The sequence below is a fragment of the Homo sapiens genome, chromosome 5, assembly GCF_000001405.40.
Source record: "Homo sapiens chromosome 5, GRCh38.p14 Primary Assembly".
In the NCBI taxonomy this organism is placed as follows: domain Eukaryota; kingdom Metazoa; phylum Chordata; class Mammalia; order Primates; family Hominidae; genus Homo; species Homo sapiens.
The window spans coordinates 170,979,870-170,998,133 of NC_000005.10; the positions used below are offsets into that span (position 1 = coordinate 170,979,870).

The following is an 18,264-nucleotide window of genomic DNA, read 5'->3' on the forward strand; positions in this document are numbered from 1 at the left end:
GCAACTTTGGAACTGGGTAACAGGCAGAGGTTGGAACAGTTTGGAGAGCTCAGAAGAAGACAGGAAAATGTGGGAAAGTTTGGATCTTCCAAGAGACTTATTGATTGGCTTTGACCAAAATGCTGATAATTATATGGACAGTGAAATCCAGGCTGATGTGATCTCAGATGGAGATGAGGAACTGGAGCAAAGGTGACTCTTACTATGTTTTAACAACAAAACTGGCGGAATTTTGACCCTACCCTAGAGATCTGTGGAACTTTGAACTTGAGGGAGATAATTTAGGGTATCTGGTGGAAGACATTTCTAAGCAGCAAAACATTCAAGAGGTGACTTGGGTGCTGTTAAAGGCATTCAGTTTTAAAAGGGAAACAGCATAAAAGTTTGGAAAATTTGTAGCCTGACAATGTGATAGAAAAGAAAATCTCATTTTCTGAGGAGAAATGCAAGCTGGCTGCAGAAATTTGTATAAGTAATGAGAAGCTGAATATTAATCCCCAAGACAATGGAGAAAATGTCCCCAGGGCATGTCAGAGACCTTTGTGGGAGCCCCTCCCATCACAGGCTCAGAGGCCTAGGAAGAAAAAATGGTTTCATGAGCTGGGCCCAGGGTCCCCATGCTGTGTGCAGCCTAGGAACTTGGTGCCCTGTGTCGCAGCTGCTCCAGCTGTGGCTGAAAGGGGCCAATGTAGAGCTCAGGCCACGGCTTCAGAGGGTGCAAGCCCCAAGCCTTGGCACCTTCCATGTGGTGTTGAGCCTGCAAATGCACAGAAGTCAAGAATTATAGTTGGGAACCTCCACCCAGATTTCAGAGGATGTATAGAAATGCTTGGATGTCCAGGCAGAAGTTTGCTACAGGAGCGGGGCCCTCATGGAGAACCTCTGCTAAGGCAGTGCGGAAGGGAAATGTGGGGTTGGAGCCCCCACACAGAGTCCCTACTGGGGCATCGTCTAGTGGAGCTGTGAGAAGAGGGCCACTGTTCTCCAGACCCCAGAATGGTAGATCCACTGACAGCTTGCACTGTTCACCTGGAAAAGCCATCGCCAGCCTGTGAAAGCAGTAGAGGGGAGTCTACCCTGCAGAGCCACAGGAGCGGAGCTACCCAAGACCATGGGAACCCACCTCTTGTATCATCATGACCTGGATGTGAGACATGGAGGCAAAGGAGATCATTTTGGAGCTTTAAGATTTGACTGCCCTGCTGGATTTCAAACTTGCATGGGGCATGTATCCCCCTTTGTTTTGGCCAATGTCTCCCATTTGGAATGGCTGTATTTATCCAATGCCTATACCCCCATTTTGTGTAGGAAATAACTAACTTGCTTTTGATTTTACAGGCTCATAGGCAGAAGGAACTTGCCTTATCTCAGATGAGACTATGGACTGTGGACTTTGAGTTAATGCTGAAATGAGTTAAGACTTTGAGGGACTGTTGGGAAGGCATGATTGGTTTTGAAATATAAGGACATGAGATTTGGAAGGGGCCAGGAGTGGAATGATAGGGTTTGGCTGTGTCCCCACCCAAATCTCATCTTGAATTCTCGTGTGTTGTGGGAGGGATCTGGTGGGAGGTAATTGAATTCTCACGTGTTGTGGGAGGGAAGCAGGTCTTTCCCCTGCTGTTCTTGTGATAGGAAGTCTCATGAGATCTGATGGTTATTAAAAGGGGGAGTTTTCCTGCACAGGCTCTCATTTTTTTTTTTGCCTGCCACTATCCATGTAAGACGTGACTTGCTGCTCCTTGCCTTGTGCCAGGATTGTGAAGCCTCCCCAGACATGTGAAACTGTAAGTCCGTAAACCTCTTTCATAAATTACCCAGTCTCAGGTATGTCTTTATCAGCAACATGAAAACGGACTAATACAGTATGTTAGGAGACTTGAAACTAGCAACCAGATGTATAAGCGGTATCTGTCTTAATGTACCTGAGAGATTCTAACCTTAAATTCCTGCAGTGAAGAAAGCTAGTAGTTAGGTGATTTGCACTAAGAACCCTGGAAAAGCCCAGAACTTGGAGACTCTAGATACCTTTGAATGCTGCAGTTCGGGGTGTGGCTAAAAATAGGATAACTGATTTAATTAGGATTAATTATATTCCCAGAACGCTTACCTGTCCCAGCACAACTGGAGATTGTCTCTCCGAAATTCTTGCAAGAGATAGGAAGTTTTTTATGGAAGTTTGAACAGGAGGTTCTAGGGGATAAGAATAAGACACTGGACTGAAAAATATTCCTAGACACTTTACAACTCTTAGTTGTCATGAACTGTTAGCCAGGGTTAAAACCCCAAAGCAGGAAATTAGTGAAATGCTTTTGTGATGAAGAAGCTTATTCAAGAGAGAGACCTACAGATATAGATATAGATATATAGGATCCTCAATTTTAAAATCAGCCTGCTTATGACCCTACAGTGAGGTTTACTGGATGAGAAGCCCTGTTGTGAACATAAAGCTCCTATTCTTTTTTGAGTAACTCATTCTGATAATACAATTGACAATAGCTAGCCTCTTGAAGAAAACCTCATATGAAAACCAAAGAGAAAAACAGAAAATAGGAAATTGGAGGAAAACAGAATTAATATTAAAACCATTAAAAGGATTTTGTTAAAAGATGATTCAGAGAAGAGCTCTTTGGAATTAAGACATGATAGAAGAAATTAAAACTTAGTAGGTTTGGAAGATAAAGTAGCCAATATCACCTAGAATGCAGAACAGAAAGTTAAAATAAAACTGGATAATAGGAGAGAAAATAGAGAATCCAGGAGGTCCAACATTGGATTAATGGGAGTTCCAGTAAGAGAAAAAGAAAGAATACTAGAAATTCTCCTGTAGTGAAAGATAACAGGTTCCATACTGAAAAGGACTATGCAGAGTTCCAGCAAAGTGAGTGAAAGAAGATCCATATTAAGGTATAGTATTGGAAATTCACAGCATCAGGATTGGAAAAAGAGGAGATCCTTAAAGCTTCCAGAGAGAAGAGGGGTTACATTCAAAGGACTAAGAATGAAAATTACATTGGTCTTCTCAATTGCAATACTAAAATAGAAGACAGTGAAACATTGTCTTGCCAATTTTGAGAAAGAAAATGAATTTCAACTTAAAATTGTATATCCAGTAAAACTTAAGTATGAAAATAGAATAAAGACCTTTTCACTCAGACAAAGCCTCAACTTTACTTCTCTTATATCTTTTACCAGGAAGTTGCTGGAGACTGTATACTACTCAATTAAAAAAGTAAACCAAGAAAAGAGGAAGAAGGGAGAGATGGGATCTGAGAATCAGAGGATCAAACACAGGAGAGAGGCTAAGGGAAGCTCTCGGATAACAGCTGTGCCTCAGGCCTTGAGAGCAACCAGTTCAAACTGGAGCAGATGGAAGGTCATAGGTGTTTTGTTTTGTTATTTTTCTTTAAAGAACTGATAGATTACTTGCTGTCTTGGACCAGGTTGAGAGGAATTGAGTTTTACAGATCTGGAATAGTGTTTGAGGGTCAACTAGTAATAAATAGAATCACATAAAACTTAGGTAAATGAAAAGGAAGTCAAACTAAACATTTGTGCACAAAAGGGAATTGAATCATAGTACCATGGAACTTAGTTATGAATGATGAATACAGTATCATAAATATGTTAGGGAGTCAAAAGATAATGTGAAAAATTCTTATATCAGGAAATAGCTCTGTCTGCCTGTTTATTTAGAAGAATGAATGAAAATAGTAAAAGAAATAGCCGAAAGAGTTGAAAATGGGTTGACTTGAGTATTGGAATCAGATATGGAGAGGAGTATGTCAGAGGATGGCAGTTTTTTATTACTGTTTTACTTTTTAAATCATGTATGTGTATAATTTTAGTAGAAATACAAATTTGGACAATTACAACATAGTTTTATGCATGAAAAAATAATGGTAAGCGTTTGGTGCCCTGAAAACACAGGGGACAGTGTATTTAACCCAGATTTTGGGAATCAGAAAGGCTTCTGGGAGAGAAGATTCCTGAATGAAATCCAGAAGAATTAGTTGAAGCTGCTGAAGAGGAAGGAAAATGGGATGCTTGTTCTAGGAGGTAGAAGCAGAATGTGCAAAGCCTTAAAGCTCTACATTGGAAGAAATCCAGATAGGTTAGTATAGCTAAGGCTTGTGGTATTCCCAGTGAGCATTACAGAGCCTAACATTAGATTTTCAGCAAATACTGAATAAATAAATAAATAACTGATGTAAGGGAAGGAGTTTTTTAAGAGTAGGAAGTCTGGGAAAGCAGACACATAGCAGTCACATGCAGCCTACCTTGTGTCTAGAGCACCAGAATTCTAGTCAAGAAGGTACAGCAAATTCAGGTCTCTACAGACTGACCAGTTTGTCATCCGGGTGTATGGTTTCTTTCTGAGGTACATAGATAACCCACCCAGGAGTTTAGTAACATATAATTAAAGTACTCCAGAATGTTCATGGAATAAAATATTCTAACCAAAAGTGTGTTTAGGCCAGGCACAGTGGCTCACCCCTGTAATCCTAGTGCTTTGGGAGATAAGGCGGGAGGATCACTTAAGGCCAGAAGTTTGAGACCAGCCTGTGCAATATAGCGAGACCCTGTCTCTACAAAAAATTCTAAAAATTAGCTGGGCATGGTGACACACGGCTGTAGTCCCAGATACTCATGAGGGTGAAATGGAAGATCACTTGAGTCCAGGAGTTTCAGGCTGCAGTGAGCTGTGATCACACCAGTGCATTCCAGCTTGGATGAGGCAGCAAGACCCTGTCTCAAAAAACAAAAACAAAAAAAAAGTGTAGCTAATAGTTAAATACATATGTAAATGATCACCTATTTATTAGGGTATAATTTAAAACGTTAAAACTCTTAGAATATTTCTTAGACTGTATCAGAATTTTACAGTATTTCCTGTTTATTTTTGTATCCATTAGTTGTTACCTGGTGTGTCACCATTTACTCTAATTATAAATTATCTTAGTTTATTGATAACAATTTTAAGTATTATTTTTTATATTAAATGTCTATTAGAAAAGGTCCATTTTAATTTTTAATCCAATTAAAATGTGATTTTTAAGTTTTAAAAATGGATAAGGAAGAGTCCTTTTAAAATACAGACACACACACAAAGACACACACATATACACAGACACACAGACACATACACATATACACACACAGACACACAGGCACACACAGACACACACAGACACATATACACACACAGGCACACACACACGCAGAACCACACATATACACACAAACACATACATACACAAACACAGACACACACAAATGCACACACAGACACACACACACACATCTTAGCTTCTGAATATCTACCAAAAGTTAGAAGTTTTGAACTTTGTTCTTAAATCCCTTTATTCAAGCTTACCCTACCATAAACATCAGTTTTGTCTTGGTTGGTTATGAAACCTTATCAGTGAGTGAAATTCCAAAAATTAATAAATACGTGTTGTTAAGGTCCTGGAATGTATTTTCCTTTAAAAATAGACCCATAAACAGTGATACTGATCAAGCATAGTATAATAGAATTTGCCTGAATTCTGTCCTCCCAAAACAGGATACCAGAAATTGAGCAAGAAGTAATTCCCTTTCTCTCTTCCATTTAAATTTTGAAATAGACAAGTTAATCTTCAAAATTTTTGCTCTCATTCTTCATTCCTTGTTTTGATATCCTATTCAATCTTTCACCACCAAAGGGTGAAATCCCTTGTATCTCTTTTGTTCATCACCATCTAGGTATACAGGAAAACACACACGTGTGTGCACTTGTGCAAATCTGCTTTCTTTCCAGTACCTTTCATCTGCCAGATGTCAACTGGAAAACATTCCAATTGAAGGATGTCATGCTATTGTATAAATGAATTCTCCTGGAAAGGATTGCCTTTCCTAAAGAAAATATTTATTAGTGCCAAATAATTCAAATGGTATAACAAAGTGAAGTGAAAAAATCAGTATGTGTTGTGGTAGCTGCTTGGATAGGGGTACCATCTTGTCTGGGAGTGTATACCTATGCTAGTTTCCTCCTTTTTATTTTTTGCCTTCATTCTTCTGAATTTACATATTTCCTAAAAATTTCCAAATTGCTTTTCAGGAAGATTTTCAAGGCATTGGGAAGGTTATGAAGCCAGAGGGAGTGAAAACAGAATAGTAATTTATAAATAAAGTTACCATACATCCAGATTTGCCTGAGATTTCCCCAGCTCACGCTTGTTGTCTTGGCAGATTGTTAGTTAATAGCTTCATCTTTCATTCTCAAAAATGTCTCTGTTTGGATGATAAATTATATGATCTCCTTGCATATAAACCACAAGTTTCTAAAGAGGATAATATAGTAATTCATAAATAAGTTTGTAAAGGCCAGGAAGTGAACCTTTCCTTTTGACTCTGTGGCTCTCAGTACCTGAGTAAAAGCCTTGTTTATAAGTGTCATGAACTAGTGATATATAAGCATGTTTAGATCTTTTTTGTGGAATAACTTGAAATTTGCATTAAGCCGATAAGTGCTCCAGTAGTGTAACTATAGTGAACAATAATTTATTGTATATTTTAAAATCACTAAACAAGTAGAATTGGAATGCTCCTAACACAAATGGCAAATGCTTGAGGTAATGGATACCCCAATTACCCTGATGTTTATTACACACTGTATGCCTTTATCAAAACATCAAATGAACCCCATAAACATATATATATATATACCTGTGATGTACCCATAATAATTGCAAATCTAGAAATTTTTTAAAAGATAAGTTCTCATTGATGTATTTTCAAATTGTCCAAAATAAAAACGGGGAATTATCTAAACTTTCAAGCTTTATCTGTGTATATGGATTTCTAAATTGTTTTGTGTAATTACTTATTATTCAACCTTTTTCCTACTGTTGAGTACACATATGAAGCAGCAGATGGCATTCTTTCCCTGCAATTGTTATGTCTTCCTGTATGGTATGTTACTGTAATAACAGTTACTGTTAAATTGAGTAGGAAAACACTTGAATAAGGAAATAGAAAAACATTTCATGATAGTATCTTCAATGGACTACTACAACTTTAAGTGCAATCCAATGTTAAAATAATGTACTAGCTGCTGTTTCATGGTACTTGGATATATTCTGATTACTGGCAACTTGTATGTTTGTATTTGATACACAATTTGGGGGAAAAGTGTTTAGAAAGTTCATCCTAAACAAATTGTTTCATACATAGAATTTTCACTTTGGTGAAAAATAGGTAGCAGCTTTAATACCTTTTAAACACTAAACATTGAAACATTTTAAATATTTCAGCATGCCAAATATATCATGTAGATTATAGGGGAAAGGCACCTGTGACCTTTAAGATTATATGTTGAAGCTTGATTGTTACAGAATAATGCTTAGTGACTTTAGGGATTTTTTTCTGTTAAGTGTTTTAAAGCTTTTCAGACTATTTCTGGGCTGCTTTTTGACTACCATATACTGAATAAATATATCATAATCAGTTTTTGTAATAGATAACAATTTGACCTAGTTAGGTTTTCCTTCTTGGTGAGTGGTTAGTGCTTATATTTCAAGTTAATGTACATACTGCTAGATAGTTTTATTGTTCAGGGATTTGTTATTTTAATAGTCATGTCATATGCTCAATACATATATAATACATTAGTATTCAGATAGGCCTTTTTAAAAAAAAAATAATTTCTCTATACCGCTTCCCACTTTTTTATCCTACATGGTAATATATATTAACTGTTTTTAAAAACACACATTTTATACCTGCTTAACAGAAAGTTGAGCAAATAATTAGACTAAAGGCCTAATTATTTTATTTAAAAACGTCTTTGCTGTATAAATAGATTTGCCAAATTCTACTTTTGAGAATGAATTCCATAAGTGCATTTAAGTGTTGGTGCAAGAGCATTAAGCACTAGACGAGGATGTTTGGGGCAGAAAAATCTAGTTAAAATCTTTGCAGCCACTGGTAATTAAAATTATGGTGTAAGTTAGAGAAATACAGGAAGTAAATTGGAAAAATATGGGCTTAGTTTTTTTTTAATAAGCTGACTTTTACTATTTATTTATCATACCAAATATACCATTATTTGACATCAAATCTTGTGAGAATTATATTTTGTTATGTAATTATATATACATTAAACACTTACTCTCTCCCTTGTGCTATGCTAGATCCTGGAAGAATTCAAAGATGATGATTTTTTGTGATTACTTAATAAAATATATGCTTACCCACAGAATATTTTTACTCTATTTTTTCCTCTCTTTTTTTCTACTTACTTTTAATGATTATAAATTCTCAATCATTATAAAATTCGGTATCTGTGGATAAATGCACAAAGTAAAACTCCACGTGCATTCTGATGTGAATGGCACTTTTTGGATTGTTCTCGAGTAATTATAGTTTGATGATTGATTTTTTTTTTTTAAGTAAGGGAGAGGGTGATAATTTCATCTGGTAGAGAAAAGTTTTCTGTATTCCACCTATCTTTTAGTGTTTGATTTTTTTTTTTGGTGATTCTAGGAATAAGAATAATAAATGAAATACCATGTAGTATGTGACTAAATACCCAAATACCAAGTAGATGTACTTTGAAGAGTTGTCAGCACTAAAGAAGACTTTCAATTTGAAAGAGGTTTTAGTTACTAAATTTTACGACTTGAAAACCCAGTCCCTCCATCAGTCTGTAATTTTTTTTAATAGTCATTGGATCTTGTGGAAATCATCAACAAGGCAATCTTCGTCCACAAATCAGAAGGCTAGGGCCACAAATATGCATATTTTCCCTGATAAAAGATTTTCATAATTAAAATTTTATGTCTACAGTTCATTATATATGTATTATACATACATGATCTTTGCACTTATGTGATAGTTCTTGCTTCTGGAATAAGGATGGATGTTGTTGAACATTCAGAGACTCTGCCAGATACCTCTTACTGTTTATTATTTTTGTACCAAATTAAATATGCCATTATTTGACTGGAAAAAAATTAGCCAGGCATGGTGGCAATGCACCTATAGTCCTAGCTACTGGCAACCAGTTTGTAAGATGAAGATGGGAAGCCTTCCTTACCGGAGTCTTGGGTAGAATTTGCTATCTTAAAAATATTCAAGTTGCTTAAAGTAAGATCATGTGTGAATACACGTCAGTAACTTTGGTATTTCAGTAATAAAGTCATAGGCAAACCCTCTACTAAGTTTTTACTAGAAATATGTTCACCTGTAATGGTGGTGCTAAAATTATTATTTGTCAAAAATAGTTGTCAGTGAGAATCTCATACTACATACTTGGAAGTATTTTCTAATGCTTATAATTGACTTAAGTATCTTGCTTGAAGGGAATCAGGATGAGATATAATCTATCCTACTTGTGCTGCAGAAACGCTGAAGCTATTCAGTCTGTGTAAATAATCCATCCCACATCTTTGCTTCCTCTTCAGTGAATGCTTAACATCCATATATTATGATGGCTTGAGTATCATTTGGAAACATAAGTCATAATAGCTACAAGTTTGTAATCGAAATATTGCGAAAAGAATTTTAGGTTTCAAGATAGTGATCCTTTAATGTCAAATGTTTCCTGCAAAACTGAATGAGGAATATTGTGGATTATTTAATTTTTAATCATTTATTTCATGATTATTTAAAAGTTCCCTATATTAATTAATCACTTCTATACTAATATGTTATACTGTTTTGGTAGGATAAGTGTAAGAAGATAATCATTGGATATTATTCCCAAGGCAAATTAGTATTTGGAGAATAGATACGTTTAGCCTGAGAGCTTGGTATTAAGTAGTTTAAACATCTTAATAATGTATTGGAGTATGTGTGTTTTTATATTTTTTCCTCAGATGTATACTGGTCTTTGCTAACTCATGTTCTTATCTAATATCCAGGAAGGAAAGTTAAGAAGTTAGGCTTACTGAAAAATATATATGACTGTTAAGCCAGAATTTCAGACTATCAACTTTCATGTATACAGTATGATTACAAAGATGTAAAACAAACAATGAAAGCTAAAGTATTAGCAAAAGGACAGAGGAAATATGACAAAATATTTATTGTCTTTAGTACTAAAACAATGAGCATGTATTTTCTTGTTTTTTATATTTTCACATTTTCCCTACTTGTTATATACATTTGGGAAAATCAGCAAAGTCCAAGTTAAAGTGCTTAACTATAATTGTCTAAGTTTGAATGGTATTGCCATTGTTCAGATGATACTTTTAAGCAACAATTTAATTCATAGCATAGTTTGCAATTTATTGAATAAAAATTTAAAAATATGGTATCAATAATTATTCTCCAATTATACTATATTGTCTTATAACTTTAGATTCTACTACACATAAATGAATGCAATGTGTATTTATTAGATTCCCACTGATTTCAGCGAAAGTTGTGGCTTACTATATTTCTGCTTATTTTATCAAAGTAGCTACCTCTTGGTTATGTAATGTTAAGCGTCTTGCCAGCATGTGACAGTAAACCAGATAAATATAAACTTTAGTAGTGTGGAATATAATAGTTTATTTTTATATTCCATCTGGTACATTTATTTTTTTCCTTCCTCTGAAAAGGCCAACAAATTTTTTCAGTTTAAACAAAGGATAAATGAGCATTCTGAATAAGGCTTCTTTAGTGTCCTAATGATTAATGATCACTGAACACTTTTGAAAGATTAGCATTTTTCAGGGCTGGTAAAAAAATATACTGTTTTATTTAATTATAAGAAAGTAAAGGCGCTTCACACTGACAGGTGGTGGAAATTAGCAGGCAGTTTTGAAATTGTGCTGTGCACGAGAAATTAGATCTCATTTTAATTCTGCTTTTCTCAACTAGCAAATGAGGTTAATGCCATACATATTCAGCTGATATGGATGAAGAAATTGATATAAAGTAGATCAACATAGCTACAGGGCTAGATTAATTTATAGGTAAAGAGGCAGTGATAAATGAAAGTAATGTAGTAGTGGTCACTAAACTCCTCTGCCATGAGGGATACAATAGCGTTAGTTGCTCATTAAAGGCATTGTCGGGGTGCATCAAATAGGAATTTGAAAAGGAATAGCCAACTAACCCCTAATTATCAAAATACAGAAAATACTAATTATGCCTTAATTAGCTTTTCTTTTAATGTACTGAAATTTGTTACTTTTTGTGTGGCACAAATGGATAGTTATATCAACAATAAATAGGTTGTTTTAATAACTTTCTTTTACCTCTGGGAAAACTACACTCCAATTTTTAATATGCAATAATGCTTCTCTCTAGCCTGTAGGAGATGAAAATTATTAAGTAGCTTTATTTTTTTGAAGATTTTACAGCAGCTTTGGGAAGAATTATTTCACCATGCATCAATTATTTTTAATTGAACTGAATATTTTTCAGATTGTACCAAATGCCTCTCATTTAAGTTTATCAGTTAGGATTTAAGAAAACATCATAATGAGAACTGCATATAGTCTCTGTTATTTGTTATAATAAGACAATGATGATTATTTATTTTGAATTTTTAAAAAGCAACCCAATTGTTGCTTGTAAAGGTAGTCACCGTATTCGGGTAGTCAGGATGGAGAATTAGAGGCTATATATTCTAGAAACTTGGCTTGTGATTCCTTTTCTTTCCTCAAATAAGGTAGTTATCAACAATCCAGTTAAGAAAGGGTTCATCTGTTCAGAATAAAGATGCGGGAAGCAGCTTGGCCTTTTCATCAGATAGATCTCCAGCCAGCTCTGGGCTTCAACTAGCTCTCACTACCCCTGGGAAATCTCATTACTTTTTCTGCGTATCAGTTTCCTAACCTGTCAACAGAAGTGATACCTTTTACAGAAATTTGGGATGATTAAGTAAAATATGGCAAATACCAAGCACAGAATTTAGTACAGTACAGATGTTCAAAAAAACATAGCTGCTGTTATTGGTAAGAATAAGAAGAACTATTTTTAAAATTTTACCACTATTTAAATTTAATGGGAAAATTCTCTTTGAAAGAATTATGTGTAATCTTTAGAACATCTAATGTAATTCTAAATTTGTGTTGGAAACCAACCAATTTATCACAGATTGATTTTTGGAGAAGAATTTGGAAACAGTTGGTCTTTGGGGCATGTATTTATGGTGATTATACATGTTGTTTCCTAATACCAGGCAGAACTTGGAATTAAAACCAGACAGTTTGATTCTAAAGTCAAGACTCTAGAAAAAGACAAAAGTGTGACTTCTGGCCTGATGAAATCTGTAATGAGTTCAAAAGCTCTGCTTCTCCCCTCAGTTGCTTTTGATGCTTGTGTTGCATTTGTGTTTCCATCCATTCCTCCTCTTTTGCTCTCCTCTGCTATCCTTTTCGGGGGTAGTAGTCATGAAATAAACTGGCTATTAACTCTATCTGTGACACTAATTCTCTCTTTTGTTTTCCTTGCCAGTAAAATAAAATAATAATATTCATTGCTCTTTTTGGTAATTGAATCAGTGTAATCAGTGTGTTATGCCAACATCCCTTCATTAGTTATGTTGCCTCTTTTGTCAGAAAATAATTTGAATAGGAAAGAGGAGAGAGCAGGAAAGACATTTCATAATTAATCAAGATATGAATACTGTACTACCTTAAAAAATAAGCATTGCCCAGTCTACTTAACAGAATTATGAATGCTAAATAAATATACTGTATGTGAAAGTAAGTTGTAAACTATAAAGCATTGTGCATATCTCCATGGTACATGTCAAATCAGCATACTACCTTTCACCTGCTTACAAACTGACCAAAAAGAAAATTAAAGTGGTGATTCTGAAGAGAAGGAAAATGAATGGGTTTGTTTCTGTGGAGGGTATAGGAGAGTGGGAGAGAATGTCAGAGAGGAAGAAAGGAGGTAAGATTTTTATGTATATCAAAGGGGATGGGGTTTTAAAAGGTTAGAAATGTTGAATTAGAGTAGTGGCCTCAAACTGAGGTCCCAGATTAGCAGTGTCAGTCCACCTGGAAACGTTAAAAATGCAAATTCTCGAGCCCTGCTCCACATCTTCTGAATTAGAAGCTCTGAGGTAGGCCCAGCAAGCCCTTCACGTAATTCTGATGCTCACAAAAATTTGAGAACTACTGAATTGTTATTTGAAGGCAGATGCTCTGCCTTGTTTCTTTTTTATCATCACAAGGAACTAGGTTTGTTTGTTTGGTAATATCCCCTGCCCCTTTTTAACCTGACTGCCAGATCCTTTCTTTTATCTTACTTAACCTGTGATCTAGAGAAGGGAAGGGGGAAAAAGCCACTTGTCCATTATATGTTAAACATTGTGCTAAAATACTCTAGGGGAAGTTATAAGTCAATAGGATCTGTGTTCTCCTGTTCCAATAACTAAAATTTGTATGGTTATACACAGTTTTTATTTAAATTGTTTTAAATTTTCTCCTAATGACTTTTCAGAAAACTGCAATCAGACCAATGCCTTAGTTCTCAAATGTAACTATTCCCTGTTCCTGGCATTTTACATGTATTATATTGCTGGTTATCTGTAGACTGTAACTTTCTAAAATACATATTTTTAAAGAAAAGTACTTGAGACACTGTACCAAGATTAGGTCAGCAGTCACACTTTGTTTCTAGGATTTTGGCTTCAGAATCAGATTGTTTGGATTTAACTGCCAGTTCTGTCTTAGACAAATATGTAATATCTCTAAGCCATTCTTTCTTCATCTAGACAATGAGAATAATGGTACCTATGTTTTAGGAAAGTTTTGACATTAAATGAGAGTGTATATGAAATAGTTGGCACAGTGCCTGACATGTAAGTGCTTAATAAATATTAACTGTTGTAATGATGATGATAATGATGACCATTGCATGGCTGTCACTTTTCTGGTTCAATTTAACCAATATACACTGTTTTTAGAGTTACAAAATGTTAGAGCCCTGAAGAGGCTACAGATGTAGTTTAAATGAGCACTCTCCCAGCTGTTTTCTACATATCACAAGACTCTTGCAAACAGAATTTAACAAGTTAACAGCAATTATTTTAAAAAAGGATTTTTTTTCCAAAATAAACTTGGAAAAGCCAGTCTATTGTATCTCTCTTGGAAATTTATAATGCATATTGGCATGTTAAACGCTTTAAGGAGCTCCTACCTTAAACGATCCTTAGCAGCTATCAAAATTACTTAACCATAGAAACCTTTTCTGTGGGAAATACCTACTTATGTTTTGCAAAATACAGTCTGGGAAATGCTATCTAGACCAGGCACTTTCTTTTATTAAGAAGCATCTCCCCCACCCCACTCCATAGAAATTGATGACTTGCCTTAGGTCATACAGCTGTAGACTCAGTTTGGAACTCAAAGCTTTTCCTAGTCTTGTTTCACCTGTTTATCTAATCAAGTTCGGATATAGAAAGGAAAATTATTTGAATTGGTAGAAAATTAGAGGTGGTTCTATTATGTAGAAGGAAAGAGGAATGAAAGATAATTCTAATATAGTGCTGCTTATTTTTGCCTGATTGTAGGAGAATCCAAGATACTTGTTTAAAACACAGATTCTTAGACTTCTGTAAATTTTAATTTGTAGGGATGAGGTAAGATTATCATTGCTGGATCATACGTGAAAAGGTCCAAGATTTTCAGAGTTTGATCTTTATAAATTGTGTCTTATGATTCTGAGTAACTAGATAATTGGTGTTAACTTTCTGTATTGGGAGAAAGATGATTAAATATGGACCAGATTCTATCCCAAGAAATGCTGATAAACCTCATTTCATGTACATTTAGATCTTAAAGAATTTGGTTTACTTGCTTATTTGTTGTCTTTCTTTTCAATACCCTCTAGTAGATAGTGCCTAATGCAATTATAGAAATCTGTCTATTAAGGTAGCTGTAAGGTCATTTAGAGCTATACATTTTAATCAGCCTAACAAATTATCAACGAGTTTAAGCTCTCTTTTCATAAATGACTCATTATATTCACTTTTTACTTTTTGACCATGACGTTGTTGGATTTATTCTAAAGGGATAGTATACCTATAATTTAAACTTAAATCTAGATCTTATGTCAGAAAACATCTAAGAATTTGTAACTGGTAAATGTTGATAATATTTAGAATAATAACATTGCCTTTATAACTGATACCTATTCAAGGCCTATAAAGACAGTAAGAATTCCCTATGAAATGAGAATTAGTTCTGGTGTATATTCAGATGTCTGCTTTCAAATATTCCTAGTTAAATCAGCCAGTTGAAGAAAGTCAAACTGTATATTGCATTAATTAAATTATTAAGATTTTTATGATCTTACGTGGTGATTTTATGTGTTACAGTTGAAACATTTCCGAGACATGTTGTATGCATATCTTTTCTTTAAGATCTTGACATTTATGGCCAAGCTACGTACCCATTTTTGCATTTACCATGTTGTCTTTTACAAGGTGTCAATTAGCATGTATTTTCTATGTATTAGGTTAAAGATGGGTTTGTGTGGTTTTTACTTTCAAAGTAAATTGTTCTCCAATTTATTTTGTAACCTACTTTTATTTTGTAACCTACTTTTCTTTCCTGTTTTGACTTCAGAGAAACCAAACCAAATAAAATTATAGTATGAAGGTCCTTAAAAATATTCCTATCTGTTGACACAGTGTTTCATGTCTGGAAGTGCAGTCTGAATAAATAATTTGAAATACAGACAAAGCTTTGTATACCAAGGTATTAATCCCAGTGATATTTGATAGAGTCGATGGTTGATTAAATAGGTTGTACAGCCATATGATGAAATATGAGGCAGATAATGAAACTTGTTTACTGAATGTAAAAAGTTTTGTTCTTTACCCCATTGTACTCCCTCTTTCTAGGCATAACCACTGTATCACTCTAGACATTTTCCTTTATGAAAAATGTTTTACATGATTGATGTTTTGCATATAATCTTACATTTAAAAGGGAGGGGGTGAACAAATTATAAACATATAAATGTTTTTAAACATCACTAAAACGATTGGAAGAAAATACATTTAAATGTTAATGCTGTTCACAGTAGCATGTGCCTTGTAGTTCCAGATACTTGGGGAACTGATGCAGGAGGATCCCATGGGGCCAGGATTTTCAGGCTGCAGTGTGCTATGATCACACCTGAGAATAGCCACTGCACTTCAGCCTGGCAACATAGGAGAAATTGTCTCTTAAAAAAAAAAAGTTATTGCTCATCTCAGGGCCTGTTATATACCTTCAGTTACCCTCCATAGCCCCTCAAATAATTTTATTTTTAAGAAAAGCTCATGGAAAAATGATAATCTTTCTACATCAAAAGGGCTAGAAATCTAAAAGTCTGAGAAAGAGAATGCTTGAGGGACCCTCTCCTTCCTCACGGTTATTAAGTGTTAGTTAAAGCTGTTTTTTTCCCTAAAAAGCAAGGCAATGAATGAAAAGATAAGGATAATAGTAGACAATAATGTCAATGAAATAAAATGAGGAATGGAAAATTTTTTAATGGAAATTTGACTTGGAGTGATTGTCATAATACCTGTAATGGAGTTCAGAGGAAGCAAAAATAGTCTTCATGAGATTGGTTGTCTTGATCATTTGAAATTGGGATTTGTTTTATCCGTACTGTGTAAAATAGCTTTTCAGCCACTATACTAGGTGAATATGAAGAAAGTTTTCTGTTCTGGAGCATTCTGATTTCATAGTTATGCCAAAAAGTTTTTGCAGATAAAAAGTCATGAAGACAGCATTCAGACCTAGGATGGTTGTACTCAAAAGCACTTGCCGTAGGTGTACATAATGTTTAGCATTTTACTTTCTGGGTAAGATGTACTGCTTCAGTTTGGAAATAAAAAATGTATCTTAGGTTACATTGTCATCATTACTACTTTTCCTTTTAGAAAAGAATAATTTATCTTTCTCAACTATATGAAAGGGATGAACATTTCTCTGTGTTCCTACTCATTTTGCATTAGTTTCTATAAAATTGAAGTGGATTGCTAGCAAAAGGGGGGGAACCCAATTACAGTTAAGTCCCCAAAACTGCATTTTGACTCCAAATCTTCAGTGTGATGTGTCTAGAAAGGTGATTAAACACATAAGAATCCTGAATGATACGGTTAAGCTTTGTGTCCCCACCCAAATCTCATTTTGAATCATAATCGTCATGTGTCAAAAGAGAGACCAGATGGAGGTAATTGGATCATGGGGGCAGTTTCCCCCCATGCTGTTCTCGTGATAGTGAGTGAGTTCTCACGAGATCTGATGGTTTTATGTGTTTGGTAGTTCCTGCTGCATTCATTCTCCCTCCTGCCGCCTTGTGAAGAACTTGCATTGTTTCCCCTTCGCCTTCTGCCGTGATTGTAAGTTTCTTGAGGCTTCCCCAGCCATGCAGAACTGGGAGTCAATTAAACCTCTCTCCTTTCTAAATTACCCAGTCTTGGGCTGTTCTTTATAGCAGTGTAAGAATGGACTAATACACGGAGTGGAGGGCGGAGAGTTTGTTCAATCCAGCGTCCTGTATCCCTCAGAGATTCATATGCAGTAAATCTGAGGTAGGACCCAGAAATCTGTATTTTAACAAGCACTTCTGGTAATTTTGAGATAGATGATCCCTCAACTACTCTTGAAGAAACTGGTCCAAAAGTTCTTCCTCCCAGTCCACATAGTAAATGTACTACCAAGGTTTGAGAGATTTCTTTATAAGTCCTCTCAGAAAGTCTTTCTAGCATGCTTGACATAGGTTGCTGTTTGCCTATTTGGCTTAGTTAAATACTACATACCCATTCTTGTGTAATTCCAAACTGTTAGAAAAGCGTATACTAATCCAGTATTTCTGTTTAAATTCAGTATGAACAGACTCACATCTATCATTAGGGAAATTCTGAAATCACTTGAGAAAAAAGTTTCCTTTATGTTGTGAATGGAAAACAATACACAGTATTAAATAATATAATAAGATCTCAACTGTATGACAATAGGAGGAACAAAAGCACCATAAGGAAATGAACCAAAATGTTCATTTTCTTTAGTTCTCATGACACAGAGAATTTATTTTCCTCTGCTTTTCTGTATTTTCCAGTATTATTTCTTATAAAAAGAAACATATTAATTTTAAAAATGCCCTTCTTTGGCCTGGTGCAGTGGCTCACACCTGTAATCCCAGCACTTTGGGAGGCTGAGGCGGGCGGATCACATGAGGCCAGGGATTTGAGACCAGCCTGGCTAACATGGAGAAACCCCATCTCTACTGGAGAAAAAAAAAAAAAACCCTTTTTCTGTCTTCACAGTTAACTTG

The 18,264-nt window shown here is 35.0% G+C and overlaps 1 protein-coding gene across 21 annotated transcripts in view; it reads left to right on the top strand.

Annotated features, from left to right (window-relative positions):
• The window catches only part of RANBP17 (RAN binding protein 17), a 437,998-nt gene that overhangs the window by 117,852 nt on the left and 301,882 nt on the right, over positions 1-18,264 (top strand). The window contains exons 15-16 of one of the 21 annotated variants that reach the window (XR_007058629.1): positions 3,196-3,376; positions 6,101-6,813. The exons of 18 other annotated variants lie outside the window; for them this stretch is intronic. Coding sequence is in view for 1 of the 3 variants with exons in the window: in XM_017009746.3 (XP_016865235.1) it covers positions 3,196-3,228 (33 nt within the window). In the remaining 2 variants the exon portion in view is untranslated. Of the gene's footprint in view, positions 1-3,195; positions 6,814-18,264 lie in introns of those variants that run through there. 2 more of the 21 variants (XR_941108.3, XM_017009746.3) reach the window with 2 other exon arrangements.